Raw genomic sequence first — 27864 nt, forward strand, 5'->3', positions numbered from 1 at the left:
TAGATTTTTTTTTTCTAGATGTCCTTTTTCAAATTAAAAAAATTTCCTTCTAAAAATATGCTAAGACTTTTTAAATGTCATATGTTATATGGATGTTTAATTCTATTTTTTTCTTTACTAAGTTTTCCTTTTAAATCTGTTACTAAGGTGAATTTTATTAATAACAATTCTAATAGTCAAATTGCTGGAATAAACCCAACTTGATCATGATGTATCATCTTTTATTTTTCATTGCTGGATCTGGTTTGGTAATATTTGTTCAGAATTTTTGCATCCATGTTCATAAAGTGAGATTGAATTGGCCTGTAGTTGTCTGTCTGGTTGTGTTCTTGCAGTTTTGGTATCAAGGTTATATTGGCCTCATAAAATGAATTGAGAGTGTTTTGTTTTCTATTGTCTGTGTAAGAATGGTGAGAATGAAATTGTTGTTTCCTGAATGTTTAGTAGCATTCAGATTGAGCCATTTCGACTTGGTTTCTCTATGGAAAAAATTTTGACTGTTGGTTGTATTTCTCTTACAGGTAAAGGATGATTCTGATTTTGTGTTTCTCCTTGAGTTGGTTTTGCTAAGTTCTGTCTTTCTAGGAAGTCATCCACTATATTAAAGATCTGAAGTGTGTTGAGAGCAGTTCTTATTCCCTCTTGCATTTCTCTGTAGCATCTGCATTTATGTTCTTTTTTTCATTCCATTTGTGTGTTTTTAAAAAAATGAATCATGCCTTTTCAAATACATAGTTTTTGTGTTTTGTTGATCTCTTGTGTGTTTCTCTGTTTCATTTGTTTCTGTCCTTTTAATTTCTTTCTTTCTTCTTCTGTGGGTCTTTGATTCAATTAGATCTTAGCTCTATTTTGAGCCTTCTCTTTTTTTTTTTTAAGGCAAGCACTTAATGCTCTACGTTTCCTTCCAAGTATTGTATCCCATGTGTCTGATGTAAAAAACTACATGGTGAAATCTTTTAATTTCAATTACGATTTCTCCTTTGACCCATACATTGATGTGTTACTAAATTTCCAAGTGAGCGGACTTTTCTAATTATCTTACATGCTTTGTTTTCCAACTTAATTGCATTGCAGTAAGAAATGTGGTCAGGCGGATCTCAATCCTTTGAAGTGTATTGGTCGTGCCTTATGTTTGGGGTGTGTCAATCCCAGCATCTGTTCCATGTGTGCTTGAATGAAGTGTGTCTTTTCCAAATGTCAGATGCAGTAAAAGCCCATTAATTCAAGCTCCATAGTTTTACGTTCACATTTTCTACTTTCTTACTGATTGTTTTTGTCTGTTTGATCTACGTGTGTTAAAATCTTTTACTATGATGATGGATTTAAAATTTTTTCCTTTTAATTTTGTGAGTCTGGCCTTGTATATCATGAGGCTATACACTATTCATATACATACATACATAAATTTAGAATCAGTACCTTTTCCCAGTAAGTGGAATTATTATGTAAGAAATTTCCTTATTTTGAGTAATACTTTTTGCCTGAATTCTCCTTTGATATTAATATGAGTATACTTGCCTGCTTTGGGTTAATATTTTCCTGGTCTATCTTTTCCACGGTTTGACTTTTAATCTTTCTGTGCTTTAGGTGTTTCTGTTGTAATAAGCACATAGCTGAATTTTGTTTTGTTTCTAAAATATAACAAAATGTTAACTGGAGAATTTAGTCCACTTATGCTTATTGTGATTAGTGATTTGGTTTTATTTTTAACATCACATTTTGAACATTTGATCTGCTCCATTTTACTTGCTCCTTTCCCCTCTCTTCCTTCATTTGGACTCTTTTTTTCTCTACTTCTACTGAAGGTATACACTGATCTATTCTATTGGTGTTTGCCTTATTTCATACATATTAATAAGTTAAAGGGACTCAATAGCCATAGTGTTCTCCTGGACAATACATGGGCCTTGCATTCCCCCTTCCAACTTACATGTGACTGCAACTTGACATTTTAAATCTAGTCTGCTTTATTTTCCCTGCAAATTATCTTTGTTTCAAAATCAGTGGTTTGTTTAGATTGTTTCATAATTATCTTAGCTCTACTGTTTCTCCTTAAAACTCAGCCCATGCATCTGAGATCATTTTCCTTCAGTTTGAATCATATCCTTCAGAATCTATTTAGTGAGTGCATTGGGTGGTAAACTCTCAAATTTGGCACTTTCCCGTGTTTTACTTGGCATAAAATTCTTGGTTATTTAATCAATACTTTGAATTTATTTTACCGTCTCTGGTTTCCATTGCCGATGTTAAGAATTTCATTATTCATCTAATAGCCATTCCTCTGTAGGTGATACTGTCGTCTTAAATTGTTTTGATACCTACTTTTCTTCTTTGTTGTCTATATCCACATCTATGCCTATAAATATTAATATGTTTGAAGTTTGTTGGGCTTAATCTGAGGATTGGTGTCTTTCGAACAATTTGGAAAATTCTCCATTTTTTTTCTTTGAATGGTGTCTCTCCCTCATTCTAGTAGTTCTTTCTGGAATGTTTTATTCAAGTATGTAAATTTTAATTATATTTTTCCTTTCTTATTCAAATATGCTTGGTTATATCTCTTGTTCCCTGTTTAGATTTTCAAGTTTCTCTTTTCTTTCTTTAAATGTATAAAACACTTTTATATTTTTGTCATTTCCAGTATCTGGGGTCTTTGTGAATCTCTTTCTGCCTACCATCTACGGTTTCTCACTCATAGTGACTGTCTCCTTGATTTTATGTAATTTCTAACCATGAGCTGCTTATTCTTTTCGGAATGTTGTTTTTAAGACACACTTGAAAGCTGAGTTAAGTTGAAGTCCTCCAGACAGCACTTGCATTTTCTTTTGCTAGTGGCTTGGGGTGCAATGGAGTCTACCAAACTGGGACCACCTTAAATTCTGTGCTTGTGGATTTACAGACCAAATAGAGACACCTTGTACTTACTGTTCTCAGTCCACTCCCACCAAACTGAAATTTGGAAGAAAGCATCCTCACTGCCCCCTTTTGTGTGATGGATTTATTTCTCATTGGCCCGTACACCAAGGTAGAGCCTTTTGGGAGCTCAGTCTGATGCAGGGTAATCTGACCTAAACTTTATCTCCTGTCCTGAGCCCTTTGCAGCTTTCAAAGATTCTCAAGCTCTACATGATTCTGCAGACATTTTCATACAATAGCTGGTTTTCCCTTCTTTTTGGGACTCTGCAGATTCTTTATTTATCATCTAAGGAAAGTGTATATAAAATCACATCCAGCATTTCATTTGTTCCCATTGAGGGGTTTATTCACATTAATTTGTCATACTGCTGGAGACAGAACTCCTATTTGGTCATTTATTTCAAACCAAACATTCTTTACCTTTTTTGTCTCTGAAAATCTTTAAGAATAACATTTGTAAATGCATAAAACCAAGTACACAGGATTACAAAGGAAATCAATTATATTGAAAAAGTTTACAACCTTTTAAAAGACAAATTTACGAGATAGTAATAAATGTGTTTCTTCACGCTGTAAGTAACAAGACTTACTGGTAGGTCTACAGCTATTGTAATTTCAAAGTAGTGAAAGTAAATGACATTTTGAGACAATTGTAACAACTATAATGTGATAATATATCTGATTTCTATATGTGGCAGAATCCCGGCTAAGAGCTATTTCCATCACAGTTTGTTGTCTACATTTATCATTGAAGAAAAGGCTAAATTTGAGTTAGGGGTTAGTAGAAACAAAAAGGTTCATTTTTTTTCCCATTCAAGTTCATGAGACCCCTTATTTAAAGGGATTTCCATTCCAGTTCTTGTAATATATCCAGAGTGAAAGTTTCCAGTTATTCTTAGGATAAAGATGAAAACCCTTGATGTGTTTATGAGACCTGGCCCCCTCCCTACCTCTTAATATTCCTGTTTTCAATCTCCCTTGCTCTGCACTTCAGCAAACTCTGCTAGACTGTGAACCCCAGGAAAAGCTCACACCTGTTTCTGCTCACTATAAAACTTTCAGAGCATATTATAGAGTCTGTCAGAGTAAGTGAGCTTTAATACGTGTCGAATGGATCCTGACTACACAAAGGAAGGATCTAGTCTCATGTTTACATATGGATCTAGTCTCATTTTTACATATGAAGAAGATGATGGCCAGAGAGGTTGAATGCCAGTCAGCTCCTGGGATACAAGGTGAGTTAGGAACAGAGCAGGGATTACGACTCAGATGTGGACATCTTTCCCACACCACATTATTCCTCTCCCTTGTCCCCACCACCCGTTAGCTTATTTATGCCCCACCACAGCAGGGTCTCACCTTCTCCCTCCAAAGTATGCCTCTTGGGCCCGGAGTTTCTTGAGCCTATACTTGGTTTGGCAACAGCAAACTAACATTTTCTCCCACTCAACCACTGCCCTTGCAGCTAGCTGCCTGTGAACAGGAGTGCATTGTGACTACAGGTGCAATTTCAATCCTGTGAGGTGTGAAGCTTGTTTGTTTTCGGAGACAGGGTCTCATTCTGTCACACAGGCTGAAGTGCAGTGGTGCGATCATCGTTCACTGCTGGCTCCAACTCCTGGGCTCAAGCCATCCTCCCACCTCAGCCTCCTGAGCAGCTGAGACTACAGGTGTGTGCCACCATGCCCAGATAATTTATTTGTTTGTAGAGACAGGATCTCGCTATGTCGACCAGGCTGGTCTTGAACTCCTGGTCTCAAGCGATCCTCCTGCCTCAACCTCCAAAGTACTGGGATCACAGGTGTGAGCCATAGTGCCCGGCAGTAGTTCATTGAAGCTTGGCCAGAGACCCTTGGCCATGAGCTTTTCAAATCATATCACCTGCTCCCCTAAGGGCCCATTTTTAACAAGCAGCACTGTATTCTTCTGTGGATCAGAATTACTGACCAGCATTTTGTAAACCAGACATTTTATATAAAGCTGATTCTTCAACAGAGGACAAAAACCCCTACTGTAATATACTGACCAAGAGCCACAGATTAAAGACAGAAAGACGGCGTGTGAACAGGCATTGCTATCCCTACCGCCATCTTTTTAAAGAGAAGACTGAGTCCCGGGGAACCCATGCTGGGGACGTCAAGCCTAGAAGAGCAGAGTCCAAGGACTGGACTGACTGCTCGTCTTCAAACATCTGAAGGGCTGTCAAGAGGAAAGTCTTTGTCTTGTTCTTGGAGAGCCCCAAGGGCACAACCAGGCCCCATGAGTGGCTGCTCAGTGAAGCCAATTTTTGCTCAGAATTCTGATAATGGAATGGGAGCTTCACAAAGCTAAGTGCTTCCAGCAGGGCGAGTGAACAGTTGTAAAAACTGTTTATAGAAATTCCTGTGTTTGAAGATGAAAGTTTCTTAAAGTCTGAGCCATGGGATACCCAATGGTGATTTTCAAGTACAACAGCAACTCACTGCTCCATCCCTGCTGAGGCTTTAGGAAGAGATCTAGTCCTCGATTCTTCTGAAACTTTCACTAAAATAAAACTAGTGTACAAACGTAAGGAGTGGTGGCAAGGCTAGATACAGTACGATCCACCGCCCCCTTCAGGCTACAGACAAGTAAACGAAGGCTCTGGGAAGGCAGCTGACTTGCCTATAAACCAGGCCGATGCTTTTCTAGTAGTTTCCTGATCTACCCTGCTTCTCCTGTCAGGTTACTGCAGCAAACAGGGAAACAGGTAAGCACAGTTGGGAATTGGGATTTATAAAGAGTTGTGTCTTTCCAGTGAGGTACATTTTTTTTCTGCCTGTGCCTAACACACCTAACATAAGATGACCTGGAGAGAGAAAAGCACAATACTATGTCATTGCACCTCCCTCAGGGTTAAAATGGAACCAAGAAGCCCACGCAAGCAGCAGATGTAGCATCTATGAAGAAAGTGTGAGTCAGAATCCACTTAAAATGATGTGTCGTACCTTTGATGTGATTTGGCACTTTGCTGCTGCTTCTGTTGTTTTTAAATTGGGTTCTCTCACCTTACTCTTTTTTGATTTCGAGTTCCCTTTCTCTCCTCGCTGAGAAACAAATTTTGTGAAAATAAACTGGGACATGGGAAGCATCTATTACCGAAGACGCCCAAATGCAGAGAGGAACCCCATTGAGTGGGTCCTTCCTGCACTGACAACGGATGGATTTTGCCTCCTGCCATTTGATCATGGATTTGGAAATAAAGAGCGTGGTTAACTGTCCAGGGTGACCTCTCCAGCTGCCCAGCATGCTCAGACACAGTTGTTCTGGGAGGTAATGAAGAAACACCATATCACCATTTCTGCCTCACATTTGCATATTACATCACTGCAACCTATCACCTTTCAAAGGGGGAAAATAGGTGTTATCACCTTTACCCATATGTATTTTCATTTTCAATGACAAGCTTTTAACACTTAATGAACAAAATTCCATTTTTAGTGATTATTACCAATTCCTTAGTCCTTTTCAATGCCTTTTAAGTTTTCCTCCCTTTATTTAAACCTAATCTTTAAGATTCAAGCTTTGTCAGATAGACAACAGGCATAAAGCAGAGACCATAATACAGGTGATTTTTCAGCATTATTTGCTATGGTCATGAGATTTTTTTCTTTAGCCTATTAAAATGATGGATTATATAAAGATTTTCAAATATTGAGCTAGTCCTTGCATCCCTGGAATAACCCCCACTTGGTAATAATTCCTTTTATATACTCCTGTATTCAATTTGCTAACATTTTATTAAAAATTTTTGCATCTGTACGAATTTGGAATACTGGTCTGTATTCTCTTGTGCTCTTTGGTTTTAGTATCAGGGTAATATTGGCTTTATACAAAGAGCTGGGTAATGTTCCTTTCTCTTCTAGTTTCTGGGAGAGATTGTATAGGATTGGTGTGAATTCTTTAAATGTCTGGCAGAATTCTCCAGTCAATCTCAGAGCCTGGAGTTTTTTTTTTTTTCTTCAGATTTTAAACTATGAATTAAATCATTAAATAAGCTATTCAAATTACAAATGTCATACTGAGAATTTCCTAGGATACGTTTCCTAGGAATTTGCCCATTTCATCTGAGTTTTCAAATTTATGTATGTAGAGTTGTAGCTAGTATTCCCTAGTTATCCTTTCAATGTCTATTAAGTGACATCCCTTGTTTCATTCCCATTAATGGTGTTTTCTGTTTTGTCAGTCTTATTAGAGGTTTGTGGCTTTTATTATTTAAGGAGCCAGTAATTTGTTTCACTGATATTCTCTATTGCTTTTTGTTTTCAATACTGATTTCTGCGCTTCTTATTTCCTTCCTTCTGCTTGCTTTGGGCTTACTTGGCTCTTCATTTAAATTTCTTGAAGTACAAGCTCAAATTATTGAGATTTCTTTCTCCTCTACTGATATTAGAATTTTAGTGCCACAAAGTTTTTTCTCAGCACAACTTTAGCTGCATCTCACAAATTTTGACATTTTTATTCAGTTCAATATATTTTCAACAATTATTGAGACTCCCTCTTTGGCTCATGGCTTATTCAGAAGTGCGTTGCACTGTTTCCAAGTGTTAGGAGATTTTCCTGTTATTTTTCTGTCGCTGACTTCTAGTTTGACCCCATTGTGGTCTCTCAGTTTTATTCCAGTTCTTTTAAATGTGTTGAAGTTTGTTTTATGACCAGGATATAGTCTACCTTGGTATATGTTCAGTAGGCACTTGAAAAGAAGGTGTATTCTGCTACCGTTCTGTGAAGTGTCGTATAAATGCAAATTAGATCCTGTTGGTGGTTACTGAGTTCAATATCCTTGCTGATTTCCTGTCTAGTTACCCTATAAATTATTGAGAATGGTGCTTAACTCTCCAACTATAATTTTGGGTTACCTATTTCTCTTCTAAGGTCTACCAGTTTTTGCCTCACATTTTTTGCAGCTGTGTTACTTGTTGCATGCACCTTTATGATTGCTGGGGTCTTTTGGTTGGACTGATCCTTTTATTATAATGTCATGTTCCTCTCTGACCTTGGCAATTTTTTTTCTTTTTGCTCAGAAATTTATCTTATTTAATATTAATGTAGTCACTCCTGCTTTCCTCTGATTTTTGCATAGTATATATTTTTTTATCCTTTTACTTTCAACCCACATATATTGTTTTCACTGAAGTTTCTCATAGCATATAGTTGGGCCATTTAAAAATATACTCTGCCAATCTCTTAATTGGTGCTGAGACCATTTACATTTAATGCAATTATTGTTATGTTAAAGTTTAAATCTGCCGTTTTACTTTGTTTTATATTTTCATTTTCTCTTCCCTGCCTTCCTGCAGGTTGTACTTTTTTGGCATTCTATTTTATTTGTGCATTTGAGTACATTTCTTTGTATAGCTTTTTTTGCTGGTTGCTCTAGGTATTACATTAAACTTACCAAAAATCTACTAGTGTCAACTTTTGCCCATTTGGGTGAAGGATAGAAATGTTACCTCCCTTTACCTTCTGATATGTATAATATAGTTGACTATTTCCTCTACATAGACAGTCACATGAGAATGTTACAATTTTTGCTTCAAACTTCAAACATAATTTAGAAAACTTACAAGGAAAAGGAAAGCCTATTGCATTTATTGATATTTTCATTCTATGTTCTTTCTTCCTGCTTGATGCCACAAGATTCCTTTGTTTCCTGTTAACTGTCGTTAGAGGTCTGCTCATTTACATTTCTCATAATTTTCCTTCATCTGAGAATGTCTTGATTTCCACTTCATTCTTGAAGGACATTTTTGCTGGATATAGAATTCTGAATTAACAGTTTTCTTTCAGCATTTGTGTCACTTATTTCTGGCCTCGGTGGTTTCCACTGAGAAACCTGCTACCACTCTAATTGCTTTGGCCCTAGGGGTAAGGTGTCATTCTGCTCTGGCAGCCTCAGGGACCATGTCTTTGCCTTTAATTTTCAGTTTAACCATGATAAATCTTGGCATGTATTTCTTTGGGCTTATCTTCTTTGGTGGTTACTCAGCATTTTGATTTTTTTTTTTTTGGTCAAATTTGGGAAATTGTCAGCCCTTCTTCCTTAAATTTTCTTCAACTCCATCCTCTTTCTTCTTTCTATGACCCCAATGACATGACAGATGCTTTGTTCCACATATCTCCAAGGCTCTGTTCATTTTTGTCAGTCTGTTTTCTATTTGTTATTTAGACCGGGTAATTTTGATTGTTCTATCTTCTGTTCTCTCCACTCTGCTGTTGAACTTATCCACAGAGCTTTTTATCTGTTACTTTTTCAGTTCTAAAATTTCCATTTAGTTCTTCGTATCTTCTCTTTGCTGCAGTTTTCTATTCATGTTTCAACCATGTTTGTAATTGCTAATTGAAGCATTTTTACAATGGCTGTTTTAAAACAATTTGTCTGATAATTCTAATGTCTGTGTGATCTTGGTGCTGGTATCTGTTCATTATCTTTTCTAATTTACCTTGAGATCTTCTTGGTTTCTGGTGTGGTGAATAATTTTTGATTTAAACCTCATCAGTTCTGAGTGCTGTAAGACTCTGGGTCTGATTTAAATCTTGAATTTTAGCAGGCCTACTCTGACTGCTCCAGGGAGTGAAGTGGGGAACCTGCCTTTTTACTGCCAGGTAGCAGGTGGAAACCCAGGTTTCCCTCCAGGCCTCCACTGGTAACACTCAGGCTGTCAGGGGTGGGGAGCTTGTTACTGCTCCCCATGTGGCCTTCACTGAGGTTGCCTTATTATTGCTGATTATTGAAAGTGCTGAAAGCCCTGACTCTCCACTAGGCAGTTGATGCCATGGGGTTGGGGTCATTACTACCCAGTGGAGATGCAAATCTCAGCTCAGGCCTTCTAGTCCCAAGCCCCTACAGGCCTTTGCTGACAGCACCAGAGCAAAGAGTGGGGGTAGGGGCAGGTTGAGGCATCTTCTTAACGTTAGGTGAGGGTGGAGCTCCAGGTCCCACTTGGTCTTTGCTGGAAGGGATGGGGAGGGGCTGTAGTGTTTTTCATGTGGTGTTTGGCTACAGTAGAGCCATTTCTGTTTAAAAGTTTTCCTTTTTACTAGGTTGCCCTTTCCCTGGTATGCTGGCAGCAGTGAATAGGTTTCTGTTGGGGTTTTTGACTGTGTCTGTTGGCACTCTTTGGTTAGTAACTTATCCAGCTCCAAGGCTGGCATATAGAAGGCAAAAAGAAAACCCAGGGAACTCACTACTTGTATTAGTTTGCTAGGAGAGCCGTGACAAAATACCAGAGACTGGGTGGCTTAAACAACAGAAATTCATTTTTCTCACAGTTCTGGATGCTAGAAGTCCAAGATCAATAGGTGTAGACAGGTTTGGTTTCTCCAAAGGCCTCTCTCGTGGGCTGAGATGGCTGCTTTCTTGCTGTGTTCTCACGTGGCCTTCTCTCTGTGTATGCATATCTCTGTTGTCTAAATTTTCTCTTCTTACAAGGACACCATTCAGACTGGATTAGGGCTCACCCTAAAGACCTTATTCTACCATAATCACCTTCAGAGGCCTAATCTCTATAGTTACCTTCTGAGGTCCTATGGGTTAAGACTTCAACATAAATTTTAAGGCAACACGGTTTAGCCCATATCACCACTGCATTCTTCCTCAGGTCCTGAGGTCCCTGGCTGGTCTACCTTTTTCTATCTACTTTCAGCATATTATGCTTGTTTTACATATAATGTCCAGAATTTTAAATTGTACTTAGTAGGAAGATGAGGGAAAGTATGTCTACTCCATTTTGTAAAAACGGTAGAGTCTCTTCCTTGCATTTTCCTTTATCTTCATTTCTTTAAAAACTGACCTCCCCTCATTAGTACATGGTAGAGCCATCTACACTGACTCTTACATCCTGGAATTCTGTACCACATCACATTAGTTTTACTTCAAGTAAAATGTATATGAAATACAGAAACTTAAAATTCAGCAGCACCAAAATAGCAGGACTTTTTAAAAACATTGATGTTTTTGATAATAATATCTTTACTTTTTTCCTTCCCACAGTACAGTTTTAGGTAAAAGTGACTCTTGTTCTCCAAAGTGGCCAAGGTACAAGCAGGACACAATCAGGGCTTTTTAATACAGAGAAAACATGCGGGTTAATCATGGTGATTAGAACCAAGTCTTGCTGCTGTCTCTGAAGCTCAGTGCGTCACACCCCAGATACTATGGTATCAGTTCTCTGGGTAATATAACCTTTCAACTCCCTATCAAAGGTAACAACCAACCACTGAGAATATCTGGATAAAGTCAACAAACCACTTTAAACAGATGAACTGAAACATTAAAACTCACAACTCTTCTGCCCTAGCAAACTGCTGAGGATTTTCTAGATTTCCCAGTCTTAAGAGACCAAACTGTAGCTCAGTTATCACCAGACCAGCATTTCACTCAACACACCTTTCAGACTGAGAACAAGGTCAAGCTCATACATAACTAAGAACCATGAACCAGAATGGTGGCCCATGCAGCACCAGAGTTGTGATCAGAGATGCCGTCAGGGATGGAGCAGAGGCAATGCCACAAGAGTCACAAGAGTCCACCTGGGCCAGTGGGCTGCGCTCAGTATCTAAGAGGGTGTAGTGGAAATCCAGTGTGTTCACTCTCTAATCTGCACCTTGCTTAAGCCCACTATGACTGTCACTGAAGTTAATAAGAGCAGCTGTACCAGTGTTGTCCCTGTAAGCAATAGCAGTGATGCCTCAATCGGGAGCCAATCCTGAGATGCAGGAGCACCACTGTGTTAGTTGGTTCAGGGTACTAGAACAAAATACTTCAGATTGGGTAATTTATAAATAGAAATTTACTGCCGGTAGTTTTGGAAGCTGGGAAGTCCAGGATCTAGGTGCCGGCAGATTTAGTGTCTGGTGAGGGGCTGTTCTTCATAGATGGCACCTTCTTGCTGTGTCCTTAAAACATGGCAAAGATGCAAAAAAGCTCCCTTGGGCCCCTTTTGTAGGCACTAAAGGGCTCTGCCCTCATGGCCTAATCCTCTTAAGCACCCCAACTCTTAATGCTATTGCACTGGGGATTAGGTTTTAACTCATGCATTATAGGGGGACACAAACATTCAGACCACAGTAACCATGCTCTGTCTACCCATTCATCCCTTTCCAAGCCCCTCAACTCCACTTCCCTCTCTTCCCAGGACATTCATGGAAATTAACCTTACACTACATCCTTGATGCATTACTTCTTTCTTTAGGATGAATTAGATAGAACTCCTCTTTCCCTTCCTCCTCTCTCCCCTGAAAATATTTTATGAATATCACAGACAAGAAAACCAAAGAATGAATCCCATGGAAGAATTCCAGATACTAACTAGCAAGTAACTAGGAAAGAGAATTCTGGACCCTGGGGCCTTTATGTTCTCCCAAATTGCACTGCAGAACTTAGTCCCCGCAAATTCTCAGCTTTCCCTGTCTACACTCCTTTTTCAATGTCTTGGTTACCATTAGTAGTTCCCAAATGAGCTTGCAGCTCTGTTAATCCCATCTCGGTACATGGTATATCACTTACTTCTGGTCAAAATAATTAAAATTATAAATAAGAAACCATCTTTGATTCCTCTTTCTCTCTCACACCACAACCAATCTAGCATTGACCCTAGTTCCAGAATGTTCTGGAGAATTTAGCATGACAAAGAAACAAAACCACATCGTCCTCTGCCCTGCCCAAGACTGGGATTCCAAAAATATGTCCAATTAAGAAGAATCCCAAGGTGGTTGTACAAGCACAGGCAAGTCTAGCTTACACTGGTTAGGTATCTTAGGATCTCTCATTTTTAAATGCTTCTGATACATAGAAATCTTTATCCTCTCAGCGCCTGCTCAGGTTTGTGTTGTTGTCACGCGGAGCCAATCTTCAGCGCCTGCTCAGGTTTGTGTTGTCACGCGGAGCCAATCTACTTGGAAAATGTGGAGCTTTAACTTACCGCATTGTTCTTCCATTTATTAAGAGGAAAAACAAAATGCTAACACTAAACCTTGAAAGGGTTCTTATTGAAAACAAAAGCTCTCAGAGTTTTCACTCAATAAGCCTAGTTCACAGATCTCTCCAGAGGGGACAATTTGCACCTTTTTTTTCTCCATCTGGTCTGTGTTGCCAAGGAAGGGCACAAAACTGATTCTAACCCTGGCTAAGATCTGAAAACTTTACATGGCAGTGAAAATTATATGCATACACTCAGCCCAAGTAGCATATAAATGCTTTCAATAGCTACATATCAAATTATATAGTGCACAAACCTGAATGTTTTCAGAATTTTCTTTTAAAATAAATTCTCCAATATTTTCCTTAGCACTCCAACAAGTGCCATGCCGAAGCAGAAAGACAACCTTTAAAACTGGAAGTCCATGACTGGTGAGTTTCAATAATTTATTAAAATAGCATATTTAACCATGGTTAACCAAGAATATGTTAACTTTGTGCCCCCCAACCTGCCCCCGCCCCAGATACGCAGCAAAACACAGTAGTGATTTCAAATATCCTTGATCATGACCAACAGGAATATTTCAAAGTCAAGTTTGCAACTCAAAAGTAGACCTTGGAAAAACTCTGAATTAAAAGAGAAACATAAAGCTCTCACACAGAATTCTTTTATCTGCCCTAAAATCAATGCCGGCGCACCACCACCTGACAATACTGCTAGGATTTTTCTTTATGCATAGTATAACGACTCATTTATTAAGTACCCACTTTCATAAATAAAATCGGCATTTTTTGTCCCGCTTAATGTTCCTTTTCAGCTTCACAAAGAAACCAGTAAATAAAACTGTCAACGACAGTCACAACATATGCTCTCACAGCAAGATAAAAAAACTTGAAAATACGCAGAGATGCATCTACGCTATTTTACATAAAAAGAGAGATTCAAAAAGTGCAAGGCAAAATCTGCAGTTTTTTGAGGGGAGCTTTTAGGCACATCCATTTCATTAAAGCAAGCTTCAGAATGAAATTCCAGTTTGTTCTTCATGACACCTGTTAAAGTCTTTCTTTAAACGACAACAAAAAAAAGCCAAAAATACATCCCATCAAGTGTACAATGGTAGTCTTGTGTCCTAAAAGTGAGGAGTTCAGCTGTGGCGAGTCCGTCCTTTCTTTATTCTGGCAGGCTTTGGTTTGGGGATGTACTGATTATTTGCCTGGTACTCGAGTTCTTTACGGAAGTAGTGAATTGCTTTGTTTAAACCTTCCTCCAGCGGGACCTGTTTAAAGGGAAAGCAAGAAAGGGAGACAAGGTCACATTGACAGAAGGGCATCGCAGGAAGGAAGTGCCACCTTGCAGGAAGGAAGTGCCACCTTGCAGCCAGTCAGGCCTCCTTCAGAGGAACACTCACAGAACCATGCTTTGGTTGTGACAGCATCCAGCATCACGGCCCACCGAGAGAAGCCAGAAGTCCTTCAGGGCCGCTTTCAGAATGTACTGTGGAGCTGACAAGTGTCACTCTTACTGACGTAAAGTGAGCTCCACCTCACAAAAGACCCCGACTACCTCTTGCTGGTATAATGTCTACTCCAGTTTGAATCGGCTGGCAAGATTGTTTTTCAGATAATGCCCATGTGCCCCATTCTTTCAGAAGAAATCCACCTTGGAGTGGCGGGAAGATGCTTTGGGAAGGTGATCTGCATCTGATCAACACGCCTGATTCTCCCACGTGACATCAACCCTTTGCACTGCCTAGCGGATCATGGCCCACTTGCACCCCCACCATACTAAGAGGCTGAGTCTGAGAGGGGACCCACGGCAGCCCACACCACAGAAAGCAACCTTCATCTGAAGCTGCTTTGCAGCCAACAGGAAACCAGCCAGATCAACTGCTGATTAACAGCAGAAAGAGAAAAGGTGAAGGGAGGCACTGCTAAGGGGTGCTGGGGCACCACTGGGGGAGAAGGTCTGTCAGCTTGACTGCAGCGATGGTTTCACAGGTGTCAAAATAGATGAAAACTTATCAAATTGTATCTTCTAAATATGGGCAGTGTGCAGTTTGCCAATTATATCTCAACAAGCTGTTAAACACACACACTTGGGACAATTAAGATGGATAATGCCTGTAAGTTTCTTTGGATCATATCCCTCAAAAATTTATTATAAATTAAAACTACTACTAGAAGAGAAACCAGTGGTAGATGGCTCACATTCCAAGAATGTTAGAATATTATAGGTCTAAATTCCAGAAAGATAAAGATACTGAGCATACACACACCTCACATAAAAAGCAATAGTTAATACATAGTGAATGTATATTTAAATCTTCAAAAAATATTTTGTTTAAAAATATAGGCTCTCCTTACAAAGGGACCAATGGCCCCTTACAAAGCTTCAAAAAAACAAGAAACCTAGGCTGCTATAACCTGTTTTGCACAGCTTGGGATTATTCGATTTTGTGAAGTCTGGGTGTAATTGTATTTTTATTTCACTCAACAAATTTCTGCAGTTTTTAGCAGATTACGTAGACTTGTACATGACAGAATGAAATAAGGATCAGGCTGGAACTCTCATGTCCCTTTGAAGTTCAATATTCTAGGATTCTACTCACTCAGCTCTGACTATGCACATTTTAAAAAGGTAAACTGAGCTCTCAACTGCGTCCCTGACTCTCTGACTGCGCCACAACCCAAGGGCCATGCCAAGATGCTCCTACATTTGTTGAGCACCCAGTGTGTGTCAGGTCTGACAGGTGCCGGGCTCCTGCTGGACACAGGGCTACACTACACGCCTCTGCCCGAGGGGAGCCCGAATTTCAGTGGGGCACATGAGGGTGGGCAAAGAGGGAACAGCCAGGCAGAGGTGACAGTAAATGAGGTGGGCTTGCTTCTATAGATGGGGCCAACCCAGCCAACCTCCCTACACAGGTGGTCTCTGAAGGACACAGGCAGCCCTGAGGACGAGCGTTCTCTGGCGGGGAGGAGCCTGCAGTCACCCAAGGCAGGAAGGGCACAGCAGGCGGCAGAGCAGAAGCAGGCGGGGTTCAGGCTCAGCCCCAGGGAGGCAGCAGCCGCCCCACCCTGCCCCCTTCAGTAGACACACTGAAGACAACAGGAAGGCATGCAGTTCCCCTTCCTCCACACCCTTCAGTCTCGCACGCTTCCAACCAGGGGCTCCACTGCGGGGCTGATGGGGACCACTTGCCCCTGACCTGGCCCCGCACACTCAATAGGCAGGCAACTGGGGCTACGCAGGGCTCTGAGCGTGTGCTGCCAGCGCCCTTGGCACAGCGTTCACAGTCAGGGGTGTGTGTGTGTGTGTGTGTGTATGTATGTGGGAGAGGGAGTGTATGTGTGAATGTGAGTGTGGATCAGTGAGTGTGCGCATGTGAGTGAATGTGAGAATGTGTATGATAGTGTGAATGTATATGTATGTGTGAAAATGAGTGTGTGTGAGTATACTTGTATTAAGTGTGTTTGTATGACAGTGTATATATGACAGTGTGAGTGTGTGGGAGACAGTGTGAGTATATGTGTGTACAAGTGTTTGTATGGCAGTGTATGTGTATGAGAGAATGTAAGAATGTGTGTGTGCATGAGAGATTTTACGAAAACAGAGCCCAGAGCAGGGGCTTCCAGCCGCTTCCCAGGTAACATTCTCTGAGACTCCTGATACAGGAGAGGCTGTTTACCACTTGGAGAAAACCCTCTATCTGCCTGGATGCCGAGCCCACCTTGCTCCTCCGGGGGCTGTCTGACAAGGGTCAGTGCCTACAGGACAGCAGACACAGGACACGGGAGGCCCCTCCCCACAAGGCAGCATTAACTCCCTGCACTTACCACGGGCTCCCACCCCAGCATCAGCTTTGCTTTTTTGATGTCTGGTTTTCTTTTCTGTGGGTCATCCTGGGCTTCGGAGAGAAACTGAATTTCACTTCCGCTACCTGAGATGTTTAAAGAAAAAAAAGGTAGGAGAGAATCACAAAGCATGGGTAAGCACAGCCTTACCATCCACATCAAAGGCAAACCCCATATGTGGTGTGAATAGGGTGCAGGCGGTGGAAATGCAGTTCTCTGAGAAGCCCCGGAGCTCCCGAGGGACTGTTCTGCGTGGAAGTCCAGGGAGTGCTCCTGCAACTGCTGTGGCCAAGCTGACTGTGTGCAGGCGCCCAGCAAGAGCTCGGTGGGGGGCAGGTTATTCTGTCTCAACAGGCCTGAGTTACCGCCCACTACAAGAGGGTTGCTCCAAGGCAGACCACCCACACCAGGTAACAAGTGCAGACGTGCCCACCGAGCATGACCCCGGTGTGAGACCACAAACGTGGTGTGGGGCCATCCCTGAGGTGGATGCCCCAAGTGGGCCATACCTGGGTGCTCGGAGCCTAGACAGCCCTGAGACCCAAGATGTGCAGCCACCCAGCTGGAGGGACCTCTCGGAGGACGGCAAAGGCTGGCCTGTTCCACATCCTTGCTGGGCCCAGGCCCCACTGGCCAGCAGTACACAGCCCCACCAGTGACTGTGGGCCAGACCTGCAGAAGAAAGCCTGTGGAGGCTTTCCCTGCCTCCGTGTCATGGAGGCCACATTGCAGACTCTGCAGCGAATCACCACCACAGGTGGTTCAGGATGGTCTGTCACAAAGCTATATACAGAAGCACAGCAGGGAAGCTGCACGCCCCTCCCCCCAGCCTTAGGTTTCAAATAGTGTTTCTCAAGCGTCAGCACGCACGGATCACCTGAAGAGCCTGTCAACAGGCAGATCCTGATCTGGGGGCCTGGGCTAGGGCATGAGAGTCTGAATTTCTAACACACATCTGATGATGCTGCTGCTGCGTTGGCCCACGGGCCTCACTCTGTGCAGTGAGGGTGTGAAGGAGTGGATGGCACAGAGCTGTGATCTGAGCCTGCCCCTTCCTCACGCAGGAGGAACACACAGATTCAGGATGGAAAAGCTGGGAAGTGCATCGGAGCAGCTGTGGGAGCCACAGATGATGCAGGCTATGTCTGAGGAAGACCGCTGCTTCTACTGCCACGAGCAACGGGAGGATTCCAGCCATCCGGGTCGATTAGACCAATGCCGATGAATGGCAGCCTGATGCCAGGAAGGGCACACTGGAGGAATTAACCCAGCCAAGCGGGGTCTGAATGGTCACCTCAGGACACACTGTGGCATACTCCTCCTTGGCCTACCTGCCAGTCTAGTCTGGTTGTGACTTCACTCAAATTTCAGGATCAACCCCAGACAACAGACACCCTCCAAGAGTCTGACTCCTCAGAGCTCCAGGAAGTCTGAAGATGAGGCCAAGGGCTCATCCACTCTATGTCTGCAATCCAGGGCTGGTCTGGAAGACCTGACCTTCTCATGGCCTAAGAGTCCACCTTGATGGGGTGCTCCCAATGCTACACTGCCCCCAGTGGGTGGCAGCCAGGATAACCAGAATTGCAAACAGAATTTCAAACCTGCCTGAAGCACGCAGCTGGTGGTTGCTGTCTCTTGCTGTCTGAAATTCTATGCTTGACATGACCAGTTCGGAAATCCAATAGTTGTCACCCATGTAGGATGATCTAATACAATCGTGCCTCAAACACTGGGAGCAAATCTCCTCCTCCCTCCCACTTCATGCAAACCTGCAACGAAAACTGAGGAGAAACCAATCCTGCCCTCCTTTATCTTTCTATTCCTTAAAAATTAGAAAACACTTAAGTATTCCTGATAAAAAGTTCTGCTTTGATCCAATTCAATTAGCTTGTATTAATTACCCACTTTCTAGTCAAGGTGTTATTAACAGATAGGGCAGGCACAGTCGATTTTACTCAGGAAATGACTTATCCTACTTACCAACAAGGTTTTTAATTAACTGAGCAAATTCTAGGATTGTGTGTTCTTCTGGGTTCCCCTAAGAAAGAAACGGTTTCCAGTTATAAGCGTCATGACAACAGCAGCAATCCACCACCCAGACCACAGGCGTGTCTGCAGAGACGTCTACTGGCCGAGTCTGACCTCCCTGCGCTGCTTCAGCAGAGCTCCGTGTGCCAGAGGGTACTCCGCTTCCAAGATGACAGTTACTCACCTGGCAGTGCTAAACTGCACCATCTATACCTTCAGCCTCTAGGCTGCTGTGTACAAGGCTGGGCTTTGGATAGGTCAAGAGTTTCTGATGAAGGCACACACTCACTGAGTATCAGACAATTTCCATATCTAACATAACTTCAATGTCACTTTTATAAAAGCTTGGGTTTACAAAATTAGCTCTCCTAACACTATCTATTCCCGTCTGGGTGAGCTGTGTTAACCATGTCAGTGATGAAGGACTTGTAATCTCACACCCAAAAGCTAAGGCAGAAATGAGTAGGCTCACAGGCGAGTGTCCCCGGCAAGCCAGAGGACAAACTCCATGCATTTCATGAAGAGAGAATACTTGTGTGGGGGCTTTAAGGAAAACCATTTGCTCTTTTTCTCCCTCCCATCACACATCAGAGCACCTGTTACTCTTACTCTGCCACCACTGCCCTCATCATAAGAGACCACCATAAAGTCTGATAATTCTATACCCTAAAGCCTCTTCATGCCCAGGTCCTCGGTTAGCCTGAAGCTAGATGGTAAATGTGGAGGGAGAGACCCTGGGCCTCAATGGAGCACAGAGGGGATGACTAGCGAAGTGGAGTGACGGAAATTTGCAAGAAAGTGATTCTGCCTTTCTCCTGGCAGACACACGATTCCAATTTTAGGAATTGTCCCTGTGCAAAGGCCCTCCCCAAAGAGGGAAGGAGGAACATGGTATCTACAGAGAAGAGCCTGGCTGCCCAGGGAAGTCACTGACAACACCCTTGCTAAAGAACCTGCAACAAAAACGCAGAGCAGGGGCGCCTCGGGCCTCTCCAGTGTACACAGGCAAATGCTGCAAGCAAAATGAGGCTTACAGTGTGAGGCACGTTCTGGTCTGTTTTAAGTGAATTTTTTTCAAAAGTGGCACACTGTACCCATGAATCAGCAACAGTCCCAGAATGGAGTCAGCACTCCAGGGCAATTCTTTCCTACGTGATGAGAATTCCCTTTCACCTCAGGGAAAAATGCATGGTCTGCAATGTATTTGAGATGGCTGGTTACAAAGACATGCATAAGCAAAGGTGACATGGTTTGCAAGAAATAGGTCACATGGCCAACATTTTAGAGTTCCCTGAACTTTAGAGTGTTGTGTAGGAACCAGGAGAGGTAATTTGGGAGAAGCACCTGAAATGACCCCAAGGTAGGGTTAAGGGGGAGGTCTCTGTGAGCTAAGAGGTTCTTGTGTCCACTGCCATCAACAGAAGCAGAACATCTTGAATGCTGGACAGTCCACATTGGAAACCTTGCATTTTAAATGAGATGGAACAAAACTGCTCAGAAAATCACTCAGTGACAGAAAGGGTAAGAGGTCCTACCATGACCTTGGCTGATGCACCAAGGAGGAGGCAGCTTAGGGGGTAGGACCATCTCCTTCAAATCCTTGGAGAGTTACCACACTGTAGAGGCATCACACTAGCCATGAATGGCCCCAGGTGGAGAAGTGAGGTCAGTGGACAGGTGTGCAGAAAGTGAGATTTCTGGTCCAATATGAGGAAGAGCTTTCTGCCGGCCAGAACTGTCCAAAGACAGGGTGAATTTCTCTGAGCAGAAGCAAGTTCACCAGCACTGAAACTGCTCAAGGCTGGATGATCCCTCCAACAGGGAGGTTCTGGGGCTGTGGGCAGGCATGCAGGGAAGGCGAGAAGCCATGAAGGTGGTCTGTCCGGCTAAATGACAGACATCATCAGCAACCGGAAAATTTTCCCTCTGAACAACCTCCATCTTCTAAAAATGCAATCAGGCCTTATAATGATGACCCGCCTGTTAAATAGAGAACGAGATGCACACACACGTCCACCTACTACCACCAAAAGGCTTCACACAATCTTAGACCCAGGCCCTTCAGAAGGTGGAGGGACTGATTACATCACTCACCCGTGCCTTGCAGATGTTTTACTTCTTTGTATACTCTTACTTTGTGTTTGTTTGTTTTTCCTCTAGTATTTAGCAAGCAACAAACACAAATGTCCTAAGTGTGCCGATGGCAAATGAAGCAAAGCCTGGTGCTGCTCATGGTTTCACAAATGAACGAAAGTCTGAGCTGTCCTGCAGAGTGGAGGGAGAGGAGCACTCACCAGGTTGACCGGGCTGCTGACGTTGCTGTTCATGAGAGCCACGAGGCCATTCACTAGATCGCTGGAAAAAAAGGGGAGGCAGGTGAGGCTCTGCCTGCTGGAATATGCTAGTGCCACGCACCACATAGAAGCCCTCCCAGAAGAAAAATTACCACCCCCAGGAGAAAACAAAAACCCAAATGGAAAATTGAATGTCGAAACAAAATCCTACAAACTAAGATGGTGTTTACAATGCGAAAGTATTTATGGATGAAATGATATATTTGATGTCTGGGATTTGCTTTTTTTGGGTGTGGTGGAGATAGTTAAATAGGATGGAAGCTGAGTGATGGGGCTGAGTTCGCCACTGCATTTCTGAAGTCCTTTAACAATTAAAAACTAAGCATAAGTTAAAACAGGCATACACTCAAAAAAGATGGAGTTTACATAAGTTTCCAAAGAAAATTCATGTTTAATGTGAACCCAGTAGTTGACCTGTACGAAAGCACATGATTACTTTTAAAAACAAGATCCACGGAAATGAACGAACTCCAGTATGTGATCCCCATACTGGCAAATCACAGATAAAGGCAAACAATACTGAGGGTTGAAATAAACAGAAACGTCACTCCCTACTCCCCCAACCTTAAAGTCGCCACCCCCCAAAACACCTCGTATGAAACGGTCAGGGATATTTGGATGTTTCAAATGGATTGTGATCAACTAGGCCATGAAGGTGAAGATAAGTAAGCAAACTTTCGCTTACCAAGGTTTGGTTCTTATTTTCAGAAGCTTTAAAGTGTGGCTCTGTTAAAACAAAGTTACTTCGTAAAAATGACACCTCACTGCTAAGCACAAGCACTTTTTCTACGCCAATTTTCCATGAGCTACAATTCTTAGAAGACTTTTAAAGCTCTGACCCTTCTCCTTCTCCTCCTCCATCGTTACCAGTGAGGAGCAGGTCACTCTGGGTCAGGATAAACTTCCAAAAGAAAACCGCAGATAGGTTTTGCTTTCAATTGAAAAAACCTATTGGGGTATTTCGTAAATCAGATATTTCTGCGTTTTCCTTTACGACAAATGCGTATTTCATATGAACATGCTTAAAATGTTCTATTCTCAAGGATCAAGCACAAATGCAAATCCCTGCTAACCTTGGATGATTTCTCCTTTATAGAAACTAGCAAAAAGTCACTTCATCACTATGGCAGTATTGCTACATTACAATAGTGCACTCATGACATACATCTGTGCAGGTTTATAAAAAGACATTAAAAGCTGCCATTCCATTGCATCCACAATATGATTTAATATTGAAACTGGGGGGTGGGGTTTATCTGAGTTGGAAGAAGGGTGACTCTCAGGCAGTCATCCTCAGTGGGGCAGACGGGAGAGCCATGGGCCTTTTACATGACAAACTGGCAACTTTTAAGGTCAAAATTGCATAGATCACATTCTTTAACCTGAAGCTCTTTACAAGTGTCATTTTGACAAAGTGACTTTTAAAAAATATAGCATGCCTTTGTTATGTAAATGAGGACAAAACCGGCCATGAGAATATTAAACAGAGTCATGCCAAAATGCCGATGCGGATGGCCACCTAGACCTCAGACTCCCTGCACTGTTGTTTCGAGGCAATCATGGGTTTGGGGAATGGTTAATTTAGTACAGTAACTATATGGACCCAGACATCGTGCATTACTAAAAGACGCTCAGTTCCTAAAAAATTGCTTGTGAAAAACATCAAAACTTTGGTCAGTTAATGAACTCATCTGAGTCCTCAATAACTAAAAAGTTTAAGTCAGGAAACCCTTGCCCAAGTATGGCAAAGTCCCTGAAGCCTCATCATCTCAGACTCTGCTAATGTGAAACCAGAGAGGATCACCAGAGTGGGGAGTAAATAAATACTACTGAAGTGTTATGAAATGGGTTTTCTAAAAGGGTTAACAACCATGTGTCTAGGGAAACTGCTCATGCCCTCTTTTCAAGTAGTCAAGTGGTGTGGGAGAGGACGATGCATGTGATGGCAGCTAGGAGCATGAGCCACGACCATCAAAGCAGGCACAGGACAGTGACCAGGCCATCAGAGCGGGCCAGGGTGCATTTTGTCCTGAGCTGGGACAGCACATAGCACAGGCATCACTGAATGCTCAAAATATTTTAGTCCTAGCAAAAAGAAAAGTCTCTGAGGCTATTTTAAATGAATTTTGCACACAATGCCCTTGAGATAATGAGAGCAGAAAGAAGAATGGGTCCTGACTGGTTTCCTTTTACCGCACAACATCTCATTGATATTCCATGTGGTGTGGGGGCTGGAGAAGCCTGGGCGCCACTGGTGAGGCAGCCCGAGGCAGGCACACATAACCGAGGACAGCAAGACTCCCTCAGAAAAGGGCACAGCTGGGTGAGTGGAGGAGGATGGGATAAGAACGCGTCACTATGGAAAGACGGTACTCAATCCAAGGGAGGCCCACAATTTGGTCCCCATACAGAAGTGTGCCATGATAGTTTCCTCCAGGGACATAGTGCCTACGTTAAGTGCTTTGAAATGAACACAGTCCCAAAGCGGGGGCAGCTGCCATTTCCCTGTTAAATCGCTTTTTAGAATATGCATGCCTATTTGGGCCACAAAGTTGGTTATAGTACACTTCTGGGCTTTTGCCCCTTGAGGCAAGATATTAATGGGTGGGGAGGAAAAAACTACTGGCTGTGTAAATGTTTACTCACAGCTTTCTTTTGGAGTAAATGGAAATTCACAAATACTTTCAGCAAAAATCTACAGTGGTTATTTTGATTTCTTTTTAAAATTTTATTTTACTACCAGTTCCATTTCTCCACGGGACTCCTACCCAGGACCCCTACCTAAGGGTCCTGGGTAGGTACAATTTTATGTGGTTGCTTTGGCTGAGGTGGGACTTGGGGGCTGCCCCGACCTGCACAACAGCCACCATCTCACCCTAGTGCCCCTGGGATGGCCCTAAGACAGCAGGAATAACACTTCCTGATTGACAGGCATACTGGGGTATTTGCAATGAAGAGTGAAAATATGTGGGTTCAAAATATAGAACTGGGTTTTACAACAATTCAGGATACCAGAAACTTTCACAGAATTTACAATAGCCACATACTGGTGGATGCACTTTGGCATACACAACTGCTTCTATCCTAACTACTCTGAGAATCCACACTGCCTTCTAAAATTAATCACCAACGGAATGGAACAACAGAACAGTGGGTTTATAAGGGCTGCCAAGAAAGCAATAAAAATCACCACGTGAATCTATTCAAAAAATATATTTTTATCTGCATTTAGTTTCAGCGTGAAATTCAACATAAGAACACTATCTACCTTGTGCCCTCCACAAGGACTATCTCCTCCACCCCGCGAGCCATGTTTGCAATGGGTCAGATTCTGGCATTCACAGGTCTGCTGGATGCAAAAGGCCATCTCTTAACTCCACCTGCGCTGAAATCACCCAAGTCACCCTCAGAGCTGGGCAACTTCACCCACACACCGCTAGGTGGCAGTAAAAGATTAGCACATGAGTCACGATAGTCATGGAGATGAATGCAAATTTTAACTTTTAAACAGAGAACAGCAAGTTTTCCCATCATAAAATTAAAAATTTTTAATCAATATATAGTGTTAGCGTTGTGGAAATGGTTAACATATACAAGACACTGAACTGTCTGTCAAGTTGGCATGACCCCTGCTCCAAAGCACTGCTAAGGCTGGGGCAGGGCAGGACAGTCTTACCTGACGTACTGGAACGCCCTTGTCTGAGACCCGGATCCGTATACCTGGAAGGAAACCAACAGTTAGGCCTCCTGATAAAACCACACCCGTCCTGCGTAGGTGTCCTTGAAACTCCAGGGGACACAGTCCGACCTTGAAACTGATCCCAGGGGGCAGTGATGCTGACTCAAAGCATCTAGCACCACATCCCGCACTCTACTTCGAGACCATGCCTTGACAGTGAGATGGTGGCAGCAATACCTAAAGTGTGCACCTGGTATAGCTGTGTAAAGTTTTCCCTCAAAAGACAGTGCCTGAAGGAATTCGCTTCTGCTGGAGTCTTACGATGTGTCAGGCATCATGTGAGGCTCTGGGGGGCTGTGACCTCAGAGTCCAGCTAGGTGACAGATCTACACACAAACATTAATACATGCATTTAACTGGGGTTCCTCACACTGACTGCCCAACAGCAGAGCTGGGGATGCCGCCCAGGCTGGTTCACAGACTGTTTGGGATGAGGCCGGCATCTCCTGGTATTGTTACAGCTAGCTCCCCAGGAGATTCTAATATAAGGCCAAGGTGGAGAGGCATGCAGGAGACTCTGAAAGTGATGCGGAGGTGGCAGGAGGAGGGTCACATTCCCCTTTGTTTCCACTGCACATTTGCTCCACACTTCCATAGCTTGGCTTGTGTTCTTTGCTCTGCCAGCTGAGACCGTCTTGTCTACTTTCCACCTGGCAGAGTGCTACTCATCCTTTAGGGACAAGCTCTGATGCCACCTCCTGGAGAAGCTTCTCTGGCTCATTGCCCAGGGAAAGCCCTTTGCCAACTGCCCCCAACTGTGAACTCCCCAGAAGGACTGGTGTCCGAACCCCCTTTGCCCTGCTGGAGCCCAGCACGATGTGAGGTGCGATACCAGCATGGGATGAGCATCTGCTGAATGACCTGCGGAGCGCCACGGATCACGCCACTCACTGAGGCGGAGACGGCAACAGAGGTGCTTGGGGAGATCTCCTAAGCGCGGCATCACAGGAACAAGAGTGCCCTCGGGGGTTTTGTTTGCTTGTGTACCTCCCTGTGGTGGAAAGCAGGCAGCTGGGAAGAAGGGACTGCCTTTGGGAACAAGCTTGATTATAACAACCCTGGGGTCTCTTCCCGCCTGACAGCAAAAAAGAGCCCCTGCCAGCAGCTCTGTGAACAGCACCAGCCCCCTCAGCACCAGACACTCAGCCTGGCTTTCCCAGAGCTCCCCGCTCCAGCTCTGAGAAGGAAAAGGGGAAGGATCAGGTGGAGAAGAAAAGCACACGCATGGCCTGGCGCGGTGGCTCAAGCCTGTAATCCCAGCACCTTGGGAGGCCGAGATGGGCAGATCACCGGAGGTCGGGAGTTCGACACCAGCCTGACCAACATGGAGAAACCCTGTCTCTGCTAAAATTACAAAATTAGCTGGGTGTGGTGGTGGGCGCCTGTAATCCCAGCTACTAGGGAGGCTGAGGCAGGAGAATTGCTTGAACCTGGGAGGCGGAGGTTGCAGTGAGCCGAGATCGTGCCATTGCACTCCAGCCTGGGCAACAAGAGTGAAACTCCGTCTCAAAAAAAAAAAAAAAAAGCACATGCATCAAACCCCCTGAAAGCCTTATTTATTTATTTAAAAAGCAGGTTCAAAGGCTATCTCTGTTTTCTTAATAAACATTTATATGCCAATTCCACAGGTGTATCAGTTCTATCTATGTAGGTTCTGTTCTTGGGGGGAAGGCCTTACACTGAGAAAAGGCTGGGGATACTGAGGAATGGGGATTCCTGTCAACACAGAAACTACAGCTGCAACAAATCTCAGTAAAGGAACATTGAGGAAGGATGGGCATGGGCCTCTTGGAAGCAGAGGGGAATTCCTTGACAGTTCTGCCTGAACCTGATTCTCTGGCCTGGCTGATACTTCTGATACATGTGAGGAAGGTAGGAAGCAGTGGGCCTGAGTTGGTAGGACAGGAGGTCCACCCACTGCCAGCTCCCTCAGCCTGGAAACTCCCCTCTACACCAGTGCCGTAGGTGTAACTCTTTTTGTTTTTTACAACCTTATTTTGGAGATGAGGTAATGGAAGGTCAAAGCGCTGGAGTGACCTGCATTCAGCAGAGTGAAATTTATCTTGACTCCAAGTTCAGAATTCTTTTTCCTGCCCTATTGTGTTCATAATTTCAGAACTACCTGTAGATTTTTTTTTCTTTTTTCAAACTGTGGCTCTCAGGCTGGCACCAGGCCATTCTCCAACCTCACTGTAGTGAGTATCGGATTTAGGCAACTCCCGCGTCACAGGCTCCTCCACAGGTGGGTTTGGGGCTGTGCTGCTGTCCTGCCCATTGCCTCTGTCTGCATCCGGGGCTCTGCTCTCAAAGCTGAGCGCACAGATGCACCTCTGCTGCTTGTTTTGCACCTTCCCACCACACTCAGTCAGGGCCACTGTGATGGTGGGCTCACCAGTCTGCTAGTGCATTCCAGCCACATTCACAGAAAGCCCACCTTTGTCCAGAGCGGCAGTGGCCTTCAACAAGCCAGCCGAGGCCAGTCTTCAGTCTGATCTAAAGCCCAGGCTCACTCATCAGAGCAGCGGTGTCCACTCACACACCGTCTCTCAGAGAGGAGCCATGGAAGAGCACAGTGGCAGCTTTCCATTCCACCGAAACATGCTGACCCCAAGCCCTGGAGGAACACAATCCAGGGCAATACATGCTGGGTAAGCCCCCCGACCGGGATGGGTTAACTAGGCTGCCAGGGTCAGGATGTGAAGAACCACGCCAGGTACCTGCTCAACCAAACAAGGGACTTGTGGTGGAGACATTCAGCAGCTTGAATATCACTTAATCCCAAAGGGCTGCAGCCTGGGAAGTCCAAAAGGCTCCCAAAATAACCTGCAGTCTGCTGGGTATTTCCCACCGTTGACTCATTCATAAGTGCACTGGAAGGAGAGTTACGACTGTGGGTGCATTTCCCTGCGTGACTCGCCAGGGGCAGCTCCCCACCCAGCCAGCACCGACACAAGGTTCATCTGCAGGCACCACGGTCACCGGGTAAGCTATGCTGCCTTCAGGTACGGTGACAAAAGGTGCTCAGCAGCACTCCCTCT

The 27864-nt window shown here is 43.6% G+C and overlaps 1 protein-coding gene across 15 annotated transcripts in view, besides 2 other annotated features; it reads right to left on the bottom strand.

Moving 5' to 3' along the window:
- Positions 1-13280: 13280 nt before the first annotated feature.
- UXS1 (UDP-glucuronate decarboxylase 1) overlaps positions 13281-27864 on the bottom strand; it is a 100991-nt gene continuing 86407 nt past the window's right edge. For 10 of the 15 annotated variants that reach the window (NR_045607.2, NR_165308.1, NM_025076.5 and 7 more), the window contains 5 exons: positions 24764-24807; positions 21028-21088; positions 18686-18743; positions 16688-16791; positions 13281-14127 (listed from right to left, as the gene is read on the bottom strand). Coding sequence is in view for 13 of the 15 variants with exons in the window: in NM_025076.5 (NP_079352.2) it covers positions 13996-14127; positions 16688-16791; positions 18686-18743; positions 21028-21088; positions 24764-24807 (399 nt within the window). In the remaining 2 variants the exon portion in view is untranslated. The remainder of the gene's footprint in view (positions 14128-16687; positions 16792-18685; positions 18744-21027; positions 21089-24763; positions 24808-27864) is intronic. The other 5 variants (NM_001377508.1, NM_001377507.1, XM_047445918.1 and 2 more) reach the window with 2 other exon arrangements.
- Positions 16662-17334: an enhancer, noted in NCBI's record as "H3K27ac-H3K4me1 hESC enhancer chr2:106713148-106713820 (GRCh37/hg19 assembly coordinates)". NCBI's record gives its function as "activates a minimal SCP1, AML or CMV promoter by ChIP-STARR-seq in primed H9 embryonic stem cells {active_cell/tissue: H9 hESC(primed)}" and the evidence as "EXISTENCE:reporter gene assay evidence [ECO:0000049][PMID:30033119]".
- Positions 17335-18006: an enhancer, noted in NCBI's record as "H3K27ac-H3K4me1 hESC enhancer chr2:106713821-106714492 (GRCh37/hg19 assembly coordinates)". NCBI's record gives its function as "activates a minimal SCP1, AML or CMV promoter by ChIP-STARR-seq in naive and primed H9 embryonic stem cells {active_cell/tissue: H9 hESC(naive and primed)}" and the evidence as "EXISTENCE:reporter gene assay evidence [ECO:0000049][PMID:30033119]".

Source organism: Homo sapiens, chromosome 2 (assembly GCF_000001405.40).
Source record: "Homo sapiens chromosome 2, GRCh38.p14 Primary Assembly".
Classification (NCBI taxonomy): Eukaryota; Metazoa; Chordata; class Mammalia; order Primates; family Hominidae; genus Homo; species Homo sapiens.